Source organism: Homo sapiens, chromosome 1, assembly GCF_000001405.40.
Source record: "Homo sapiens chromosome 1, GRCh38.p14 Primary Assembly".
Classification (NCBI taxonomy): Eukaryota; Metazoa; Chordata; class Mammalia; order Primates; family Hominidae; genus Homo; species Homo sapiens.
In genome coordinates, this window is record NC_000001.11 from 100,361,456 (window position 1) to 100,382,386 (window position 20,931).

General features: G+C 38.5%; 1 protein-coding gene across 6 annotated transcripts in view; it reads left to right on the plus strand.

Annotated features, from left to right (window-relative positions):
* CDC14A (cell division cycle 14A) overlaps positions 1-20,931 on the plus strand; it is a 175,277-nt gene that overhangs the window by 16,455 nt on the left and 137,891 nt on the right. For all 6 annotated transcript variants that reach the window (NM_001319211.2, NM_001319210.2, NM_003672.4 and 3 more), the window contains exon 3: positions 16,091-16,166. In NM_001319211.2, the coding sequence (NP_001306140.1) occupies positions 16,125-16,166 (42 nt within the window). In that variant the 5' untranslated portion in view covers positions 16,091-16,124. The remainder of the gene's footprint in view (positions 1-16,090; positions 16,167-20,931) is intronic.

Below are 20,931 nucleotides of genomic sequence, written 5' to 3' on the forward strand. Positions count from 1 at the left end.
CAAAGAGTACATTTTATGATCTCTGTGAGGACCAGTACTACCTGTTTTTGCTCACCATTATGTCCCAACACCTAGCACTGTGCCTGGCATAGATATGGGGCTCAAGAAATTTTAGTTGAATGAATGAATGAGTGAGTAAGTGAATGAGGAAGAAAGGAAAGAAAAAGATTTCAGGCAGAGTCCTGAGAAAAGGCACAAGAGGTGTTTGGGAATAGCAAGATTCTGTTAGAGGAGGTGTAATAATATTTGAATGGAGAGGAGTCACAGGTCACAGCAGCAGTCACTTAGTTGGGGACTGGATTGTGGAAAACTGTTTGGATGTCAGTAAATTGTGCTTGCTTGTAAATGGCAGAGAGTGACCAGGGCTCTACTTTAGGACGAGTGCTGCCATCGCTCGAAGGTGGGGTCAGTTAGGCTATGGAAGAATTGGATTAGGGTTGCAGCAGTGGGGAAAGAAAGGCCAGATGGGGAGAGGCTGGAAAGAATTGGTTGACTGGATTTGGGACTGAGCAGATGCGGGTAGGGAGGAGGAAGCAAAGGTGAATTCAAAGTTTCTGGCTTGGGTGACTGGGAGAGAGGGACACCTTTAAGTAGGTGAGGTACGTAAATCAGAAGGAAACTGCCTTTTTGCTATTCTGTTTTGTTTTGAGGATTGGAGATAGGAAGTAAAAAGGGGGTCATTATAATGGAGTCTTTGTCTTTTGTGATCTTTAAGCGGAAAATAGACCGTGTCTGTCCTGGATATTTAAAATGTGGGGAGGTAAGTGGCACAACTGATCTCAAGTTCCTTTCTGGCTTTGTGATTTGAGCTGAATTTTTTATACTGAATTGTGAAATTCATTGTGTCTTAGAAATATTTTTTTTAATTTTTCAAAGAATATTGCTTTTCTACAATGAAGAAATTCAAACCTACAGTGCTATAAATTTTTAATTGGCATAATTTTGTATATGCAGTTTTAAATGCTGATTTTTTTAATCATACATGAGCATTGTAAACCAATGCCATTTTTCAAAATCACCATAAATGTCTCTATATTAATAATATTTCGGGGAAAGGATATACCATACTGTATTGAACATTTTTCTCTCTTTGGTCATTTTGGTTGTTTCCTATGTCTTGTCATTTTAAGTTGTTCCAATTCACATTACTGAAGCAAAGTAGAGCTGTGAATAATTCTTTTTAAAGCTTTAGTTTCAATTTACTTAAAAAATATATTGGTTTGTTTTAATCAACGAAATACTTCCAGGAGCACCAAAGAATTTTATGTGGATTGAGAGTCATCAAAAATATTGCTCTATTTATTAAAAATATGTAACATCCCCAGTTCTTGACAACTTGAAAATGAAGCAGCATTGTTGCCTGGGGTAAATACCCGGGGTTCTTCATCTCATCGAAGATTAACAATAGGTACACGTGAGTGGGTTAAGGAGCAGAGACTTTAATAGGCAGAAGAAAGGACAGAGGAGAGAGTAGCTCTCCCTCTCTTGTGAGACAGAGGAGTCCAAAGGGAAAAGCGGGCCTGCAGCTGACCGCAACAGGTTTTATAGTCTGGCTTGAGGAAGCGGTGTCTGATTTACATAGGGCCCGCAGATTGGTTCAACCAGGTGTGACGTTTACGTAGTGGGTGGGGAAGGCTGATCACCCCACCCTAATCTTATTATGCAAATGGACTTTCCACTCGGCCAGTGCCGTCTTGTCTGCTCCTCACTGTACATGTGGCTGGCAAAAAGAGAAGATGGAGCTGCCATTTTGAACATGCCTAGTCCCAGGTAGTAGTATTCCTACTGGCACAACTGCCGACATTCACCTGTGCAAGTTTCCAGCTTGCTTGTTTACGTGTGCAGCTCTCTTTTACAGGCTGCTGTTTGTTAAAAGAGAAAATGATTTTAGGGCTGCTTTTCATTAAAAGGAAACCCTTACCGAGGGCTCCCGAACCCTCAGTACCTGCCTAAGTAATTTCTTTTTAACTCGTATATCAAAAACATCTGGTAAATGATCACAATTATTTGTTGTTGACAGTGAATTCCTTTATAAGAAATAATTTGTGTAAACTATAAATTTGAATAAGATATTTCCTTTATTGTTAATTTAATTTTTTGGTCTTAAATATTTTCACATCCTAGTGACAAATTGAAGAATTTGCCAGTTTAGACTTCTCTTTTTTTTTTTTTATAAAATTTAATTTTCTTTTGAGAACTGGAAAAGGTAGTTTATTTCAAATTTGGTCCCCATGATTGATGTACTTTAGTAATGCATTTATTCAGTTTTGTGTATCTGGATATGTGGCATTTCAGTGAGACAGCTTCTACAGAGAATTGGAAAATTACATTCTGAAATATCAAAGTTTTATAATTTGAATAATTTACGGAAACCTTTCTAAAATGAATATACATTTCTGCCTTCTTAAAGAATTTACTGGCCAGGCATAGTGGCTCACGCTTCTAATTCCACGCTTTGGGAGGCCAAGGTGGGCAGATTGCTCGAGCAACATGCTGAAACCCTGTCTCTACAAAAAATACAAAAATTAGCCAGGCATGTTCCACATGGCTGTAGTCCTAGCTACTCTGGAGGCTGAGGTGGGAGGATCACTTGAGCTTAGGAGGTCGAGGCTTCAGTGAACCATGAGCATGCCACAGCACTCAGCCTAGGTGGCAGATCAAGACCCTGTCACAAAAAAAAAATTTATTGATCACAATTTACTTTTTTTCTGTCATACACAGACTTCATCATTATGGATGATCATCTTTTTTTTTTTTAATTTTTTATTTTTGAGATGGAGTCTCGCTCTGTTGCCAGGCTGGAGTGCAGTGGCCCGATGTCGGCTCACTGCAACCTCTGCCTCCCAGGTTCAAGCGATTCTCTTGCCTCAGACTCCCAAGTAGCTGGGACTACAGGTGCATGCCACCACACCCAGCTAATTTTTGTATTTTTTTTTTTAATAGAGACAGGGTTTCACCATGTTGGCCAGGATGGTCTCAATCTCTTGACCTCGTGATCCGCCCGCCTCGGCCTCCCAAAGTGCTGGGATTACAGGCGGAGCCGTTGCCCCCGGCCCTGTGATCCTCACCACAAATTTTAGAGTAATTATTTTCCTTTTGAGAGCCTCAGCCACTTTATGAAATCTGAGGGTTAGCCTTTTATGTATGGGGGAATCGCTCATCATTCTGTTTTCTAACAAAGCTTTGCATATACTGTCTGTATAGCTCTCCTGCCTTCAGTACTAGCCATTGAATAATGGAGTTAATTTACACTGCTTGAGAATATTTCTGTGGGAGTGAATTTTAATTTTCCCAGTGCATTCCTGAAGAAGTCTCCTTTTGTTTTCGTTAATCTGAGTCTCTAAGGGAGTTTTTATTAACTGACCTTCTCTAACGAGGGATGTTAGAATTACAGACCCTGATACTGGAAGGTTTCTTGATACCATCTGGTCTGTTGTTTGGCTTTAAGGCAAAGTGAAAGCACTCACTTATTTTACAGAAACAGCAGCTGACACCTGACCTGACCAGTATTTACCTCGGGTTAAGAAGGTAATAAGTGGAGAATGGTTCCTCACCCTCTGGTGTTGTAAACCTGAACTTTCTTAGAAATCTAGACAATGCATCAAGGGACAGGATTGATAGTTGATATTGGGGTTCTCTCCTTCCTTTATGATCTCAACAAATGTCAGACTTTTTGCAGACAAGTAAGTAATAAAGATGATAAGTTTCCTAATACATGTAGCTGCTTTGTAGTCTGTGGGTTTGCTTTCTGGCTGTGCAGAAAACAGTGAATTTCATGGAAAAAGTTGTGTTCTTTTCCTTCCTCAAAGAGGAGACACTCTGAGGGAAATGTTTTCTGTACCCAGACCCAATGCACTGAGAGGACAGACAGAACAGAGAACATCAAATAGGGCAAGTAGACCTTGAGAAACATTTGAACAGTTGAATGGGTTTGTCCAATAAGGATAACTAGAGTCATAGACTCTGTAGAGTCTATATAGCGGCTAGAACTGTGATATATGATATTACATAAGAGCTGGAAAGAACTTTAGGAGCCATCTAATTCAGTGGCTTCATTTGATAGATGAGGACGTGGAGTCCCAGAGAGGCTACGACACCAGATTAGGGACACTGAGTGACCAAATTGGGACTGGAACCTTTTGGCACCCAGTGATCTTTAGTTCTGCATCAGACTGCTGTGTGTGTGGGAAGCTTGTTAGATGTGCAGCAACTCTTCCCCAAGAAGTTGGCATCAGTGTGACTGTGGGTGGTTATGCTAAAGGGCTTGAGCAAAAACTCAGACTAGTGCCCTCATCTGAGGTTGGTATTTGTTATGCAGTTAGGACCTTTTTAAAATGTGATCATTATGAGTTCAGCCATAATAATCACGTCTCATACAGAAACTTTATCATCTGACTGGAGGGGTGCGGATAGTATTCTAGTGATAGGGAAACTGTTAGGTAATGTGTGGCCCAGAGGCATTGCTGATCAATTTCAACAAAATTTTACACACACACACACACACACACACACACACACACACGGTCTCATTGTGTTTTGGAGGATACTGCTATTTTAGCATTTATCACATTGTAATAATGTCTTTACCTGTCTTCTCAGTAGATAGTGAGCTCCTTGTGGGTAGGGACTGGTGACCAATAGGCTTTTAGTAACTATTTGAGTGAGCAAGTGAATGAAGAGACAAAAAACGTCAGCAGTGCTGGTAAAACATTGAAAGGTTGGCATGCCTTATAACGATCTTATAGAATTTATTCATCCTGTTTTTAAAGCAGTTAATTTTTTTTGTATTGCAAGTACTCTGTGATGAATATGCTAACTAGTAATGCCTTGCTCAGAATAGGTAGTCATAAATTTTGTTGAATGAATGAGTACTTCTTGGAATGTAGCTTATCTTTTTGCTGAGGTGTTGGGAATTTTCACATGAAGCTTCTAATGTGTAGAATAAGGTATAACAATACTTCAAACAATGATTCCTCTGGGAATTGACTCACTTAAATTATAGTTTATTAGAAAAACCGAAGACAAAATAATGGTACATCATAAACTTCATAAATCTGTGAGAAGAGCTGCACATGTTGAGTATGACAGCAAGGCTTTTAGGCCCAGCTTCTATGTCCCTTCAAATTTGTAGGACCTGCACCTGTGGGGTGGTGGGTGATCCTACCCTTGTGAATGTTTGCTCTGATCCTTGGGCTCCTGTTTCTTTGTTCTCCTGGTAAGGAGATGAACCTCCTTCCTCCTCCACTTGCAGGACTCCAAATGCTCCAATTCTTTTAGTTTCTTTCCTGTCAAAACAGAAAAGGGTTTGATTTTAGCTATTTACACTTACTGAATAAAAAGATGGATGGACCGATTTTCCCTTAATAGTTCATGAGTTTCATTGTAGGCATTGACCCATAATTTGCCAATCTTCTTAGAAGAAATCTGCAAATAGGTGGAGAGAATCATTCGTTCATTTGTTAATTCATTTGGAGATGAACGCACGGGTACTCTGAAATAATAAAATGTCCGTGTTTTTCCCTGGCCACATGAGACCAAAAGACTACTCCCCTCTGCCAAGACAAAGTGGGGACCCGTGCTTGGCTGTGGCTCTGGAAGCCTTTTCCTAGGAAATGCCAGAGTGGAGAAGACTCTGTCCATTGTCATTAACTTCAAGTTTAGGAGTGCACTCAGCCCTCAGATTTCTGAATAGTCTCTGAAGTACTTATTTCTACCATCTCCTCCCTTTTCACTATCCCCAGGTTGATGACCTTCCATTTCTCCTCTTCCACCCTGCTTTTGTTCCAAGCTGCCCAAATAAATCTAGCACATTTGATTATTTTCATTGATTATCAATTAATTTTTATTTTGAATTTCCCTCTAGCTAATAGTATGTATTATAAGTATGTTTTCATTTTTCCCTCAACTCTGGTGAAGAAGGTTCTTACAAAGGAGCATGTTGTTGGAAGATGTCTTCTTTATTCACAGTATTTCATTATACCAAAGTTGGTGATAACCCAGCATGGTGTGAACAACTATCAGCAATTTTTCAATGATCTTGACATTTAAAAATATATTTATTAATAGTAAGCTAGAAAACTATATGTATAAGACTATATTATTTTAAATACATAAATAGTCTTACAAGTGTAAGTATTGTATCAAATGACCTTAAGATAAGATAGAGCTTGTTGGCTTTATATTTGTGACAATTCTGACTTTTGAAGACTTGTTCAAAATTGCTCTTGGTTGTGCAAAACTTTTGACTGAATTTTTTTAGTGTAACTTGAAGCTCATCCGTCTTTTTGTGGGATATAAAGGCTGGCCCACTGAGCTTCAACATACTGTGGGGTGGGAAGTCCTCTGGGTTAGGATTGCTTATTTTTTTTCTACCTTTAACCTGAGGCTCTTGCCAAAAGAGAGGCATAACTTCTTCATTGTTGCTATCTTTGGATAGCAGCCTACTCTTAAAACAGCCTGTCTTTTTGAGAGACAGTGAAGGAGGGTGGGAACTAGATCCTCACCTATTTTTCCATTCTCTTATGTTCCAAGTCCCAACTGGCTTTTTGGAAATATGACCCTCTTGAACAAAACAGGATAAAAATTACCAGGGCCTATTCTCACTGTTGGGAAATAATTGGGCCTTTGTAGGGAAAGGATATTGTCTTCAAACATTTTATCTATACTTCGTTTATGGTACTTGGTAATTTCTTTTATCTTTTATAGTTATTTTGATATGTCTTTTCATCTTGATCAGTATTGTCCATCAGTGCAGAACATTGTTGAATTCTGTAGCCATTAGCTACGTGTGGCTTTTGAACACATTTGAAATAATTGAAGAATTTTTAATTTGTTTCACCTTAGTTAATTTAAATTTAAATAGCCATGACTAGTGGCTACCATGTTGGAGAGTACAGATCAACTTAAGGATAATGTTTGTATTTGATTTACTTTCTCCTGTGTTATTGTAGTATGCCAATTTTATTTCCTGGTGTTTGGTGAAATAGGTTCATATGTGAACCATATTGCTTTCAAAAGTACATGTGGCTAAGCCAATCTGATTGTTAGAAATTGTACATCTTTGAATTTGAGTTTGAAGTTGGATTGTAATGGTTAGTATGAAACTGGAATTTGATGACGAATTCTTTTTTAAAAAATTTCAACTTTTATTTTAGATTCAGGGGTATATGTGCAGGTTTGTATACAAGCATATTTTGTGATGCTAAGGTTTGGGGTATAAATGATCCTGTCACCCAGGTAGTGAGCATAGTTCCCAATAGTTAGTTTTGCAACCCTTTACTCCCTTCTTCCCTCCCCACTTCAGTAGTCCTTCATGTCTATTGTTGCCATCTTTTTGTCCGTGAGTAGTCAATTGTGTAGTTCCCACTTATAAATGAGAACATGCGGTATTTGGTTTTCTATTCCTGCATTAATTCTTTTAGGATAATAGCCTCCAGCTTCATCCATGTTGCTGCAAAGATAGAACGATTTATTTTCTTTTGGATATATACCCAGTAATGGGATTGCTGGGTTGAATGGTAGTTCTGTTTTAAGTTTTTTTGAGAAATCTCCAAACTGCTTTTCACAGTGGCTGGACTAATTTAGATTCCCGCCGCCAACAGTGTGAATCTGTTGTTTTTTGACATTTTTTTTTTTTTTTTGAGATGGAGTCTCGCTCTGTCGCCAGGCTGGAGTGCAGTGGCGCAATCTCGGCTCACTGCAACCTCCGCCTCCTGGGTTCAAGCAATTTTCCTGCCTCTGCCTCCTGGGTTCAAGCGATTCTCCTGCCTCAGCCTCCAAGGTAGCTGTGACTACAGGCATGTGCCACCACGCCCAGCTAATTTTTGTATTTTTAGTAGAGATGGGGTTTCACCATGTTGGCCAGGATGGTCTTGATCTCTTGACCTCGTGATCCGCCCACCTTGGCCTCCCAAAGTGCTGGAATTACAGGCGTGAGCCACTGCCTAGCCTTGACTTTTTAATAGTAGCCATTCTGACTGGTGTGAGATGGTGTCTCATTATGGTTTTGATTGGTGTTTCTCTGATGATTAGTGATGTTGATCATTTTTCATATGTTAGGTGCTTGTGTTTCTTCTTTTGAGAAGTGTCTGTTCATGTCTTTTGCTCATTTTTTAATGGGGTTATTTTTCTCTTGTTCAACTGTTAAATTCCTATGGATTCTAGATATTAGACCTTTGTCAGATACATAGTTTGCGAATATTTTTCCCCTTCTGTATGTTGTCTGTTTACTCTGTTGATAGTTTATTTTGCTGTTCAGAAGCTCTTTAGTTTAATTAGGTCCCACTTGTCAATGTTTGCTTTTTGAGGACTTAGTCATAAATTCTTTCCTGAGGCCGATATTTAGAATGGTGTTTCCTAGGTTTTCTTCTAAAAATTTTTTTTTTTTTTTGAGACACCTAAGTTGGAGTGCTGTGGCATAATCATGGCTAACTGCAGCCTTGACCTTCTGGGCTCAAGTGATCCTCCTGCCTCAGCCTCCCAAGTAGCTAGGACTATAGATGTATGCCACCACACCTGGCTAATTAAAAAAAAAAATTTTTTTTTTGGAGACAGGGTCTCATTTTGTCACCCAGGCTGGAGTGTAGTGGCACCATCAGAAATCACTGCAGCCTCGACCTCCCGGGCTCAAGCAATTCTCCTGCCTCAGCCTCCCAAGTACCTGGGACTACAGGCATGCACTACCACACCCAGCTAATTTTTGTAATTTTTAGGAGATGGGGTTTTGCTATGTTGCCCAGGCCGGTCTTGAACTCCTGGGGGTCAAGCGATCGGCCTGCCTTAGCCTCTCAAAGTGTTGGGATTATAGGCATGAGCCACTGCACCCAGCCTAAAGTTTTTTTTTTTTTTGTAGAGATGGAGTCTCCCTTTGTTGCTCAGGCTAGTCTCAAACTCCTGAGCTCAAGCAATCCTCACACTTTGGCCTCCCAAAGTGCTATTTCATAAGCATGAGCCACGGCTCCTGGCCTCTTCTGGGACATTTAGTTTGAGATCTTACATTTAAATCTTTAATCTATCTTGAGTTAATTTTTGTATACGGTGATAGATAGGAGACCAGTTTCATTCTTTTGCATTTGGCTAGCCAGCTATCCCAGCACCATTTATTGAATAGGAAGTCCTTTCCCTAGTGCTATTTCTGTTGATTTTGTTGAAGATCAGATGGCTGTAGGTGTACAGGTTTATTTCGGGGTTCTCTATAATGTTCCATTGTTCTATGTGTCTGTTTTTGTACCAGTACCATGCTGTTTTGGTTATTATAGCCTTAGAGTAGAGTTTTAATTTGGGTAATGTGATGCCTCTGGCTTTGTTCTTTTTGCTTATTGCTTTGACTATTTGGCCTTATTTTGGTTCCATATGAATTTTAGAATAGTTTTTTTTCTAATTCTGTGAAAAATGATACTGGTAGTGTAATAGGAATAGTGTTGAAACTGTAGATTGCTTTGGGCAATATAGTGATTTTATCCATATTGTTTCTTCCAATCCATGAGCATGTAATGTTTTTTCATTTGTGTTGTCTGTAATTTCTTTTAGCAGTGTTTTGTAGTTCTCCTTGTAGAGATCTTTCATGTTGGTTAGATGTATTCCTAGGTATTTTAGTTCTTTTGAGGCTATTGTAACTGGGATTACATTTTTGATTTGGCTCTTAGCTTGAATATTATTGGTGTATGGAAATGCTACTGATTTTTGTACATGAATTTTGTATCCTGAAACCTTATTGAAGTTGTTTATCAGTTCCAGGAGCCTTTTGGCAGAGTCATTAGGATTTTCTAGGTATATCATTATATCGTCAGTGGAAAGAGATAGTTTGACTTATTTTCCTATTTGAGTGCCTTTTATTTTTTCTTTGGTTGCTTGCTCTGGCTAGGACTTCTAGTACTGTGTTAAATAGGAGTGGTAAGAGTGGGCATCCTTGTCTTGTTTCAACTCCTAAAGGGAATGCTTCCAGCTTTTGTTCATTCAGTATGATGTTGGTTGTGGGTTTGTCATAGATGGCTCTTATTATTTTGGGGTATGTTCCTTTGATGCCCAGTTTGTTAAGGATTTTTACCATGAACGGATGTTGGATTTTATCAGAAGCTTTTTTTGTGTCTTTGAGATGATCACATTTTAAAAAAATGTTTAATTTTGTTAATGTGGTGTGTCACATTTATTGGTTTGCATATGCTGACCCAACCTTGCATTCCAGGAATGAAGCCTACTTCATCGTGATGCATAAACTTTTTGAGGTGCTGCTGGATTTGGTTTTTGGAGGATTTTTATGGATAACTTGAATTATTTTTGCTTTCCCAAAATTTATTCAAAGTGAGTTTAAAAAGCTGAAATAACCATAGCTAAAACTTCAAATTCTACCAGTGTCAATATTCATATACAAGTAGAAAAAAAACAAGTTATATTAGTCAAAAGTGTTGCTTCCATTAACCCAAGGATAAGAAAATCTCTTATTTAGAAAAAAGGTTACCTTAATCAATACTGGTAGATGCATATTTATACACAGGCATACTGTGGAGATATTGCAGGTTTGGTTCTAGACCACCACAATAAAGCAAATACTGCAACAAAGCAAGTCACACAAGGTTTTTTGGTTTCTCAGTACATATAAAAGCTATGTTTATACTATACTGTGGTCTATTAAGTGTGTAGTAGCATTGTGTCTAAGAAAGCAATGTATATACCTTAACTAAAAATACTTTATTGCTAAAAAATGCTAATGATCATCTGAGCCTTTAGCAAGTTGTAATCTTCTTGCTGGTGGAGGGCCCTGCCCCAGTGTGATGGCTGCTGACTGATCAGGGTGGTGGTTGCTGAAGGTTGGGGTGGCTGTGGCAATTTCTTAAAATAAGACAGCAGTGAAATTTGCCATATTGATTCACTCTTCCTTTCATGAAAGATTTCTCTGTAGCATGAGATGCTATTTGATAGCATTTTACTTAGAGTTTTCAAAATAGGAGTTAATCCTCTCAAACCCTGGGGCTACTTTATCAACTAAGTATGTGTAACATTCTAATTTTTTTGTTGTCATTTCAATAATATTCACAGCATCTTCAAAAGGAGTAAATTCCATCTGAAGAACCCAGTTTCTTTGCTCATTCATGAGCAAAAGGTGTGAGCATGATAAAGTTGAATGAGAAGCAACTCATCATTCAAGTTTTATCATGAGAATTTAGCAATTAGGCTCTACTTTTAATTTTAGTTCTCTTGCCATTTCCACCACATCTGCAGTTACTTCCATCACTGACATCTTAAACCCCTCAATAGCATTCATGAGCGTTGGAATCAACATCTTTCAAACTCCTGTGAATGTTAATATGTTGACTTCCTCCCATAAATCTTAAACCTTATGAACCAACCTCTGCTAACTTCATACTTTTATTCTGCAGCTTCCTCACCTCTCTTAACCTTCATAGAATTGAAGAGAATTAGGGCCTTGCTTTGGATGAGGCTTTGGCTTAAGGGAATGCTGTGGCTGGTTTCATCTTCTATCCAGATCACTAAAACTTTCTCCATATCAGCAATAAAGCTATTTTGTTTTTGTATCATTCATATGTTCACTGGGGTAGCACTATTAATTTCCTTCAAGAACTTTTCTTTTGCATTCACAGTTGGCTGTTTGGAGCAAGAGGCCTAGCTTTTGGCCTATCTTGGCTTTCGATACACCTTCTTCACTAAGCTTAATCATTTCTACCTTTTGATTTAAAGTGAACCATGTGTGACTTTTGCTTTTACTTGAACACTGAGAGGCCATGATAGGGTTATTAATTGGCCTGATTTCAATATTGTTGTGTCTCAGGGAATAGGGAGGTCCAAGGAGAGGGAGAGAGATGGGGGAATGGCTAGTTGGTGAAGCAGTCAGAACACATATGACATTTATCAATTAAGTTTGCTATCTTATTTGGGTACAGTTTGTGGAGACCCAAAACAATTACAGTAGTAATATCAAAGATCACTGACCATCATAACAGATACAATAATAATGAAAATTTAAAATATTGTGAGAGTTACCAAAATGTGAAACAGAGACATGAAGTGAGCACATGCTGTTGGAGAAATGGAACTGATAGACTTGCCTAATGCAGGGTTGCCACGGTTCTTCAATTTGTAAAAAAATGCACTATCTGTGAGCATGATAAAGTGAAGTGCAATAAAATGAGATATGCCTATACTCTTCATTTTGGTTCTTTTGAGTTAGTTTTTGTTGACTTGTCTTGGACTGGTCAGTAAGGGGATTATAGGTATAGTTCATTTTGGATTCGTGGGTATTTTGTTTACATTTACAATACAACACCACACTGGGAAGTTAAGAAATGAGTCTAGAACTTTTATTTCAAATCACTGCTGCTTTCTTTCTTTCTTTTTTTTTATTATTATTATACTTTAAGTTTTAGGGTACATGTGCACAATGTGCAGGTTAGTTATATATGTATACATGTGCCATGCTGGTGTGCTGCACCCATTAACTCGTCATCTAGCATTAGGTATATCTCCTGATGCTATCCCTCCTACCTCCCCCCACCCCACAACAGTCCCCAGAGTGTGATGTTCCCCTTCCTGTGTCCATGTATTCTCATTGTTCAATTTCCACCTATGAGTGAGAATATGCGGTGTTTGGTTTTTTGTTCTTGCGATAGTTTACTGAGAATGATGATTTCCAATTTCATCCATGTCCCTACAAAGGACATGAACTCATCATTTTTTATGGCTGCATAGTATTCCATGGTTGTATATGTGCCACATTTTCTTAATCCAGTCTATCATTGTTGGACATTTGGGTTGGTTCCAAGTCTTTGCTATTGTGAATAGAGCCGCAATAAACGTACGTGTGCATGTGTCTTTATAGCAGCATGATTTATAGTCCTTTGGGTATATACCCAGTAATGGGATGGCTGGGTCAAATGGTATTTCTAGTTCTAGATCCCTGAGAAATCACCACACTGACTTCCACAATGGTTGAACTAGTTTACAGTCCCACCAACAGTGTAAAAGTGTTCCTGTTTCTCTACATCCTCTCCAGCACCTGTTGTTTCCTGACTTTTTAATGATCGCCATTCTAACTGGTGTGAGATGGTATCTCATTGTAGTTTTGATTTGCATTTCTCTGATGCATCTCTGTGTTCTTCTCATGAAGCCTGTGTAAAGGGACAGCTAAATTTGGTGCCACCTGTAATATAAATTTCAAAATATTACCAACCTGCCTAATAGGGATGAAATATACAAATTCAGCATTCTTTATTTATCTAAGGCAAGTGGCTATTGGCAGATTTTATGTAATGTAATGACATAGTTATGATAGTGTCATTTGGGTGGCAGCAAAAAAATTAAATGACTAATTCAAAGGTCTTTTGGGGATGGATTTTGGAAATGTGTTGGTATTTAGTAAATTTGTGGTCTAGACTAAATTGAACTTAAAGCATTAATGAACAAACTATTTCATAATGAATACTTGTTTCTGCTTTTGTATTACCTGTAGGACATTCTTCTAATCATAAGTATATGATACAGTCCCTGACAGAGAGACTTACATTGTAGTTGATTAAGTAGAATCAATACTTAAAATAATTTGCAATATTTAGTAGTATATGTAGTAGACTAAACGAATGACTCAGACGGTAAGTTTTGAAAACTTTGAGAGAAAGGTGTTCCCTAGGATGATTGGAAAGGCTTCATGGAGAAGGTGGGATTTGCACTGGACTTTGAGCAAGGTAGAGTGTAGCAGAAAGAAAAGGAGGACACTCTAGACAAGGAAACCGATGTGAGTGGAGGCTTAGATAAAGAATACATTTAGAATATTTGGGAATAAGGAATGGACATGTTTGTTGGAATGCAGATTTCCTATGGGACCTCTCAGGAGATAAGGTCAGCCTGGAAGCTAGGGGAATGTTGTGTAAGGCTTTGATTGCTGGGCCAAGGAATTATTCTAAAGGCAGTAAGAAACCATTAAACATTTTTGAATAGTGGGAGGATATGTGAGAACTGAGACTTTATGAAGACTAATATCTTTCTTGGAATACAGGATGATTGGGAAGGGGAGAGAGATTTTAAAAAGTACAGGCATTTCTCAAAAGAAGACATTTATGCAGCCAACAGACACATGAAAAAATGCTCATCATCACTGGCCATCAGAGAAATGCAAATCAAAACCACAATCAGATACCATTTCACACTAGTTAGAATGGCGATCATTAAAAAGTCAGGAAACAACAGGTGCTGGAGAGGATGTGGAGAAATAGGAACACTTTTACACTGTTGGTAGGACTGTAAACTAGTTCAACCATTGTGGAAGACAGTGTGGCGATTCCTCAAGGATCTAGAACTAGAAATACCATTTGACCCAGCCATCCCATTACTGGGTGTATACCCAAAGAATTATAAATCATGCTGCTATAAAGACACATTCACACGTATGTTTATTGCGGCACTATTCACAATAGCAAAGACTTGGAACCAACCCAAATGCCCATCAATGATAGACTGGATTAAGAAAATGTGGCACGTATACACCATGGAATACTATGCAGCCATAAAAAATGATGAGTTCATGTCCTTTGTAGGGACATGGATAAAGCTGGAAACCATCATTCTGAGCAAACTATCACAAGGACAAAAAATCAAACACCGCATGTTCTCACTCATAGGTGGGAACTGAACAATGAGAACACTTGGACATGGGAAGGGGAACATCACACACCAGGGCCTGCCTGTCATGGGGTGGGGGGATGGGGGAGGGATAGCATTGGGAGCTATACCTAATGTAAATGCTGAGTTAATAGGTGCAACACACCAACATGGCACATGTATACATATGTAACAAATGTGCACGTTGTGCACATGTACCCTAGAACTTAAAGTATATATATATATATAAAGTACAGGTGTGAGATGAAAAGGATCTGGACTTCTGTTGGCAAAATAGGAAGAGAAAGGGAAAGGATGAATTATAGTAGTAGCTTGTTTGATATATCAGAATTAAATATTTATTTGTTGGCCTACTGTGATTGAGAGATTTAATGCCTGAGTGACTGGGAGAAGCAAAGTGTTTTTTTGTCTGGAGGGATGATGTGAAGGAAAGATGGGTTGAGTTTTAGATATTTTGAGTTCCAGGTGACGGAAGGGCCTGTAGATGGTGGACCCAGCAGGTAGCCGAGATGGAGAAGACTGACACTGGCTCTCAAGTGGAAGAGACATCACTTTTCCATAGGGTCGTCAGTTAAATTCATGATGTTGGCTAAGAGAGAAGATCTACAGATTGATGACTGTATCCTGGAGATGTTAGGGGATGAAGAGAGGGGGAGGAGCCAGTGTGTCTTATAATACAGAAAGTTCATGGAGAACGAAAACTGAAAAAATACCACTGGATTTAAGATACTTGAGAATTGTGAGCTATGTTTGAGAGGAATAGTTGGAATCCAAAGTACACAAGTAAGATTATGACTAAAATATATGATAAAGAAATAAAAGCAAGTAGTACAGGCCATGTACTTGTTATATTCCTGTTGGTTCTTTCTTTGCCTGTTCTTTAGTGTGTTTACTTAAATGGTCTGGCAGGCAGATAAAAGGAGGTGGAACTTAAAACTGTCCAATTAGTTCTGTTTTTTTTTTTTTTGCGATGGAGTTTCACTCTTGTTGCCCAGGCTGGAGTGCAGTGGTGCGATCTCTGGCTCACCGCAACCTCCACCTCCACCTCCCGGGTTCAAGTGATTCTCCTGCCTCAGCCTCTCGAGTAGCTGGGATTATAGGCAAGCACCACACTGCCTGGCTAATTTTGTATTTTTAGTAGAGATGGGGTTTCTCCATGTTGGTCAGGCTGGTCTCGAACACCTGACCTCAGGCAGTCTGCCTGCCCCAGCCTCCCAAAGTGCTGGGATTACAGGCATAAGCCACCGCGCCCGGCCACTAGTTCCCTATTAAGAGACTAGTTAGAGTAACTAGAGGGCATTAGGACGAAACCATTAGTTATTTGGATTATACCATGGATCAGATTAGTTATAAGATAATTGAAATTTGATTGTAAATTTAATGAAATTAAAGATGAACATTGATGTTACTGAAAATTATACTTTGACTAAATACTACGTTTTTTGTTTTTCTTGTATCTTAGTTTCTATGCAGATTTTGGACCGCTGAACTTGGCAATGGTGTACAGATATTGCTGCAAACTAAACAAGAAACTAAAAGTGAGTATTGTAGTGATATTTATAATTTGGAATTAAAACATTTGAACCATAGGATCTGCTCAGTGGGGTTGGTGTGCACAAAACATTTAGTCAGGTGATCTTGATCTCTGGAAATTTATGTGAGTAGTTCACCTAGAGTTTGAAAGTGATCCTCCTGATTATACCACAAAGGACATGTTAACCTCTTTCAGTTTTCAGAATGAATTGCAATATGAGCTGAATGAAGTCACTGGAATAGTGATCTAAGAAAGAAAGCACAAATCCTTTTAGGCTGTTGTTAATGAGTCTCTATCAAATTCCCTCCTAGGATAATTTTTCTGAAACCTTCAGATATGCCTGTAGACCCTGTTTCCAAGTGATGAACAGGGCTTATCATGGCTGGAGCTGTGTGCATAACATTTTCTGTTTGGTCAAGATTGAAATTTTTTGCATGTTTCTTAAATGTTCTGTGTAGTTAACAGCCAGGTGAGATTGATGAACCAGCAGCAACAGAGAATGGAATTTACCTGAGATGATAGAATTCTGGTCATACATTTAGTATTCATCTATAGTTTTGATTTCACATGGGTATCTGGTTTCCTTTTCTGTACTTTTATGTGGATTTTGGCATGTGGCTTTTTTTTTCTTCTTCAAGCATATGAGGAAACTCATCTATATACCTAGTTTTAGTAAACTTATTTTATCACACAGAAAGCAATATTTATCTCCTTGTCTTCCAATTTCTAAATGAAGATCTTTACTATTTCAGTTTGAAAGACAAAATGCTATACAGAGGACTCTTAAGGATAAATACTAAATTATATTGCTCAGGTATTTTGCTCTTTCTGCTGGGTAAAATGTTACTGGTGTTACATAGTACAATGCCTTGGACATATTAACTGTTCTGTGATTATTTTTTGATTTGATTGGTTTTTAATGAACTTAGGTATAAAAAGCAGTCTGATAGAGAATTTCCTGTAGAATATGTTGTATCCTTATGAATTTACAAATTTTTGCCATTGATTTCAAAGTGAGAGGTGGACATGGAATTATACCAAAAAGAATCAATAATCATATAACATATTAGGTTGGTGCAAAAGCAATTGTGGTTTTTATAATTACTTTTAATGTTAAAAACCACAATTACTTTTGAACCAACATAATAAAATCTGTTTTACTCAACTTTTGTAGGAATTAACTTACAAAGTTGTCTGACTTGAAAAGATACATGTAAATTCCTTTAATTAAGCCAGATCTGTTTTTAAGAAAAGAAGCCAGTATTTTAGAAAGTAAAATAGAGGTTTTTGCAATCACCTAGGAAGTAAATAATATCCTTTTTATAGAAAATGAACTTTTAATGGCTGAGTAAACAAGAAAAGGATAATTAATAAATAATGGAAGTCTATTTTTTTCTTTTGAAGACCAAGGAATTTCTTTGCTGTCTTGATTAGTCATTAGTATGTAGTTGGTATGAATTGGGTATTATAATTAATCTGGGAACCGAGTACTATCTAGGGTAGCCAAAGAGAAAGGAGTCATTATCAGGAAAGTAAAATCACTGGTCTGACTCAGTGTTCTACTTATAGCAGTTGCAGAAGAGTAGATGGGTTGAGTTGAGAGTATTTTTTCTACCATTTTCTACACTGAACAGTATGGTAAGTATATGTATGTAAACTTGTTTCTATTTGCTTTCATTTATAATGCTGTGTTTCGACATTATTAATAAAGTTTAAACACTCTCCTTGGTTCATTTTAGTGGTAAGGTAATCTGTTGGTTGTCTGGAATGACATATGTAGCTTTAGGACAATTAATGGGCACTGCATTACTTGCTGAATGATTGAATTTTAAAAACCCAAATGTTGATAAGTCATGAGTTGTCTCAATGAAGCATACTACATAGAATCTCTAATTAGGAGAAAAAGATTTACTGTACCAGTCCAAAGTTGGAATTGCTTCAGTTTTGTGGAATCTTAGTTTCTTCATCTGTAAAATAGGAATTATAGAACTGTCACAGGGTGGTGGTTAGTATTATATTAGAAAACATGTCTTAGTCTGTTTTGCATTGCTATAAAGGAATACCAGAGGCTAGGTAATTTATAAAGAAAAGAGTTTTATATAGCTCATGGTTCCACAGGCTGTACATGAATCGTGGCACCAACATCTGCTTCTGGTGAGTCCCTCAGGAAGCTTTCACTCAAGGCAGAAGGTCAAGGGGAACAGTCATGTCATATGGCAAGAGAGGGAGCAAGGGAGAGGGGAGGGAGGTGCCACACTCTTTTTAACAACAAAATCTTGGGGGAACTAAGAGTGAAAACCCACTCAATCCCCTCAGAATGGCACCGAGCCGTTCATGAGGGATCTGCCCCCATGACCCAAGGCCCCACCTCTTAACACTGGGGATCACGTGAGATTTGGAGAGGACAAATATCCAAACTATATCAATATGTAAAAGCTTTGTACATTTTAAAGTCCTATACATAATAAAGTTACCAATGTAACATTTGTGAATTCTGATAGGGAATATAATAAAGACAGTTCTTCTACAAAATCGATGAACACCTGTTTCTCAGCCTTAAAGCTATTGTTTATATATGGGAAAGCTGTCCAATATAATTTTAGGAATCTAAATGACCATTTAGTCAAGACTCAGAAAGGGAAGCCTGGGAAAGGTGTGTGACTTGCCCAGTGCAGCAGGCAAAGTCAGGGCTAGATTTCATGGCTCTTGACCACATTTTTCCTGTTCTTCTTTCCACCTTCAGTAGGAACCATAGCCTCTGGTTTACAGTCATCCTTTGTTCACTCTTAGCATTGCCCCAGCTACCTGACCTTGTTGTCCCACGCTGACTTTGAGGCTCCTCTGCCTCTTTCATTCCAGTAAGTGTTAGGGCCATTCTGTCTGCTTCACTTCCACGAACCCAGACTCCAGATTCTCCCACTTGGAAAATGCCTTTGTTACTCACTTTGCACATTCTGTCCCTCTCACACTACTGGGATTGCTAGACCTTCAGTCTCCCTGTTCTCTCAGTCCACTGGCACCCTGCTGATGTCTCTTGCCTGCAGCCCATGGTCACTTACTTCAGTAAGGTCTTGGGTACTTTGCTTTCTTGTCTTTCTGCCTTGCCAGCTCTCACCCTTGTTGTTTTCCCAGTGGATGATTTCATGCACTAATTTACTGGGAAGCAGCAGTACCCTTGCCACTCCCAGCCTTGCACTTTACTCTACCATACCAGCTGTTCCATGCATTTGCTCATGAAGACCAGTCTGACTGGGATGCCCTTACCCTCTGGCTTGATAGCTCTTCATTCTTTAATACCTTGTCCAGCCACCACCCTTTAGGAAGCATCTTCTTGTCCTTTTGGACTGGATTGAGGGTGCCTCCCTTGTTTTCCCATCATTCTCTGTGCAGATCTGTATCGTTGATGAATTGTAATTACCTGTTTGCACCTGTCATTCTCACTAGACTATGAGCTTCTAGAGGGTGGAAGGTGGAGGATGTCATGTATCTTTGTGTTCTCAGTGCCTAGTGCAGGGACAACAGACACACAGAGACTTCTTTTGACTTTGTCATGATCCCCTTCATTTGCAGATCCCCCTTTCTCCTTTTGCTTCCAGAGGTTTCAGAAGAAGAGCCTGCCTCCATCCTTCCTGTGTGCTGATTTCTTAACCCTTTGTTATCTAACTTTTGCCTTCCCTACTCTACCGAAACTGCTCTAATAACGTCTTAAATGCTGAATCTGATGGCACTTGCTGGATCCTCAAACTCCTTTACTTCTCTGAGTAATTTCGCACTGTGTTAACTAGTAACTTCGTCTTAGGATTCTTCTCTTGTGTGATTTCCCAGTTCTTTTAGGCACATTTCATTTTTTAGTTTGGAAATTTTTATTCCTTCCAAGAAAGCTTGTGTGATTTTTCTTCCTCATTCTGTGCTTTATATAGATAGGTAATATTTTGCTGTACATTTTATTCCAATCCCAAATTTCTCATTTTTGAAATGAGAAGATGTTTTTTTCCAGTTGATGATTTGAGTTGGTGATTTATCGCTATTTTTGTGTTTCTGTGTCTATATGCATTCTATTCCCAATGTCCTTATTTTAATTATGTCAATCAGAATGGAAAATTATCCCATCAAACATATGCTTAGATTAAAAATCCAAACATAAAATGCATCATCACCAATAAAAAACCTGCTGCTTATTTAAACTGTACTTTAAAAAATTGTCAGTACTAGGAATTAGGCAGTAATAGGTTGCTGTTTGGTCTTTCCCCTAGGATAGGGGAAGCAATCAAAAGAGGGAAGATGCATTGAAGTGAGAACAATTTGTTAAACTGTGTATGTTATTTAATGTTAAATGTCATCAATGATTGATAGCCTTGAGCTGGAATTATTATTCTGGTAATTCAAGGGATCCATAAACCCTTGAAATTATACAATTTTGTATGTATTTACATTTTTCTTCTGGGAGGATTCATGGCTTTTTTTCAGGTTCTCAGAGGGATCCTTGACACAGACATGCTAAGAACACTGGGCTAAAGTCTTCTGAAAAAGAAGACTTTACTAACAAAAGACAAAGTTGTGGTATTTTGAAAAAACTGAATACCTTCCTCTATTCTTTTTTTTTTTTTTTTTTTTTTGAGAGGGGGTCTCACTGCGTCACCTGGGCTGGAGTGCCATGGTGCAGTCATAGCTCACTGCAGCCTCAAACTCCTGGGCTTTGATGATTCTCCCACTTCAGTCAACTGACTAACTGGAAATATAGGTGCACACTTCTGCACCCCACCCAGCTA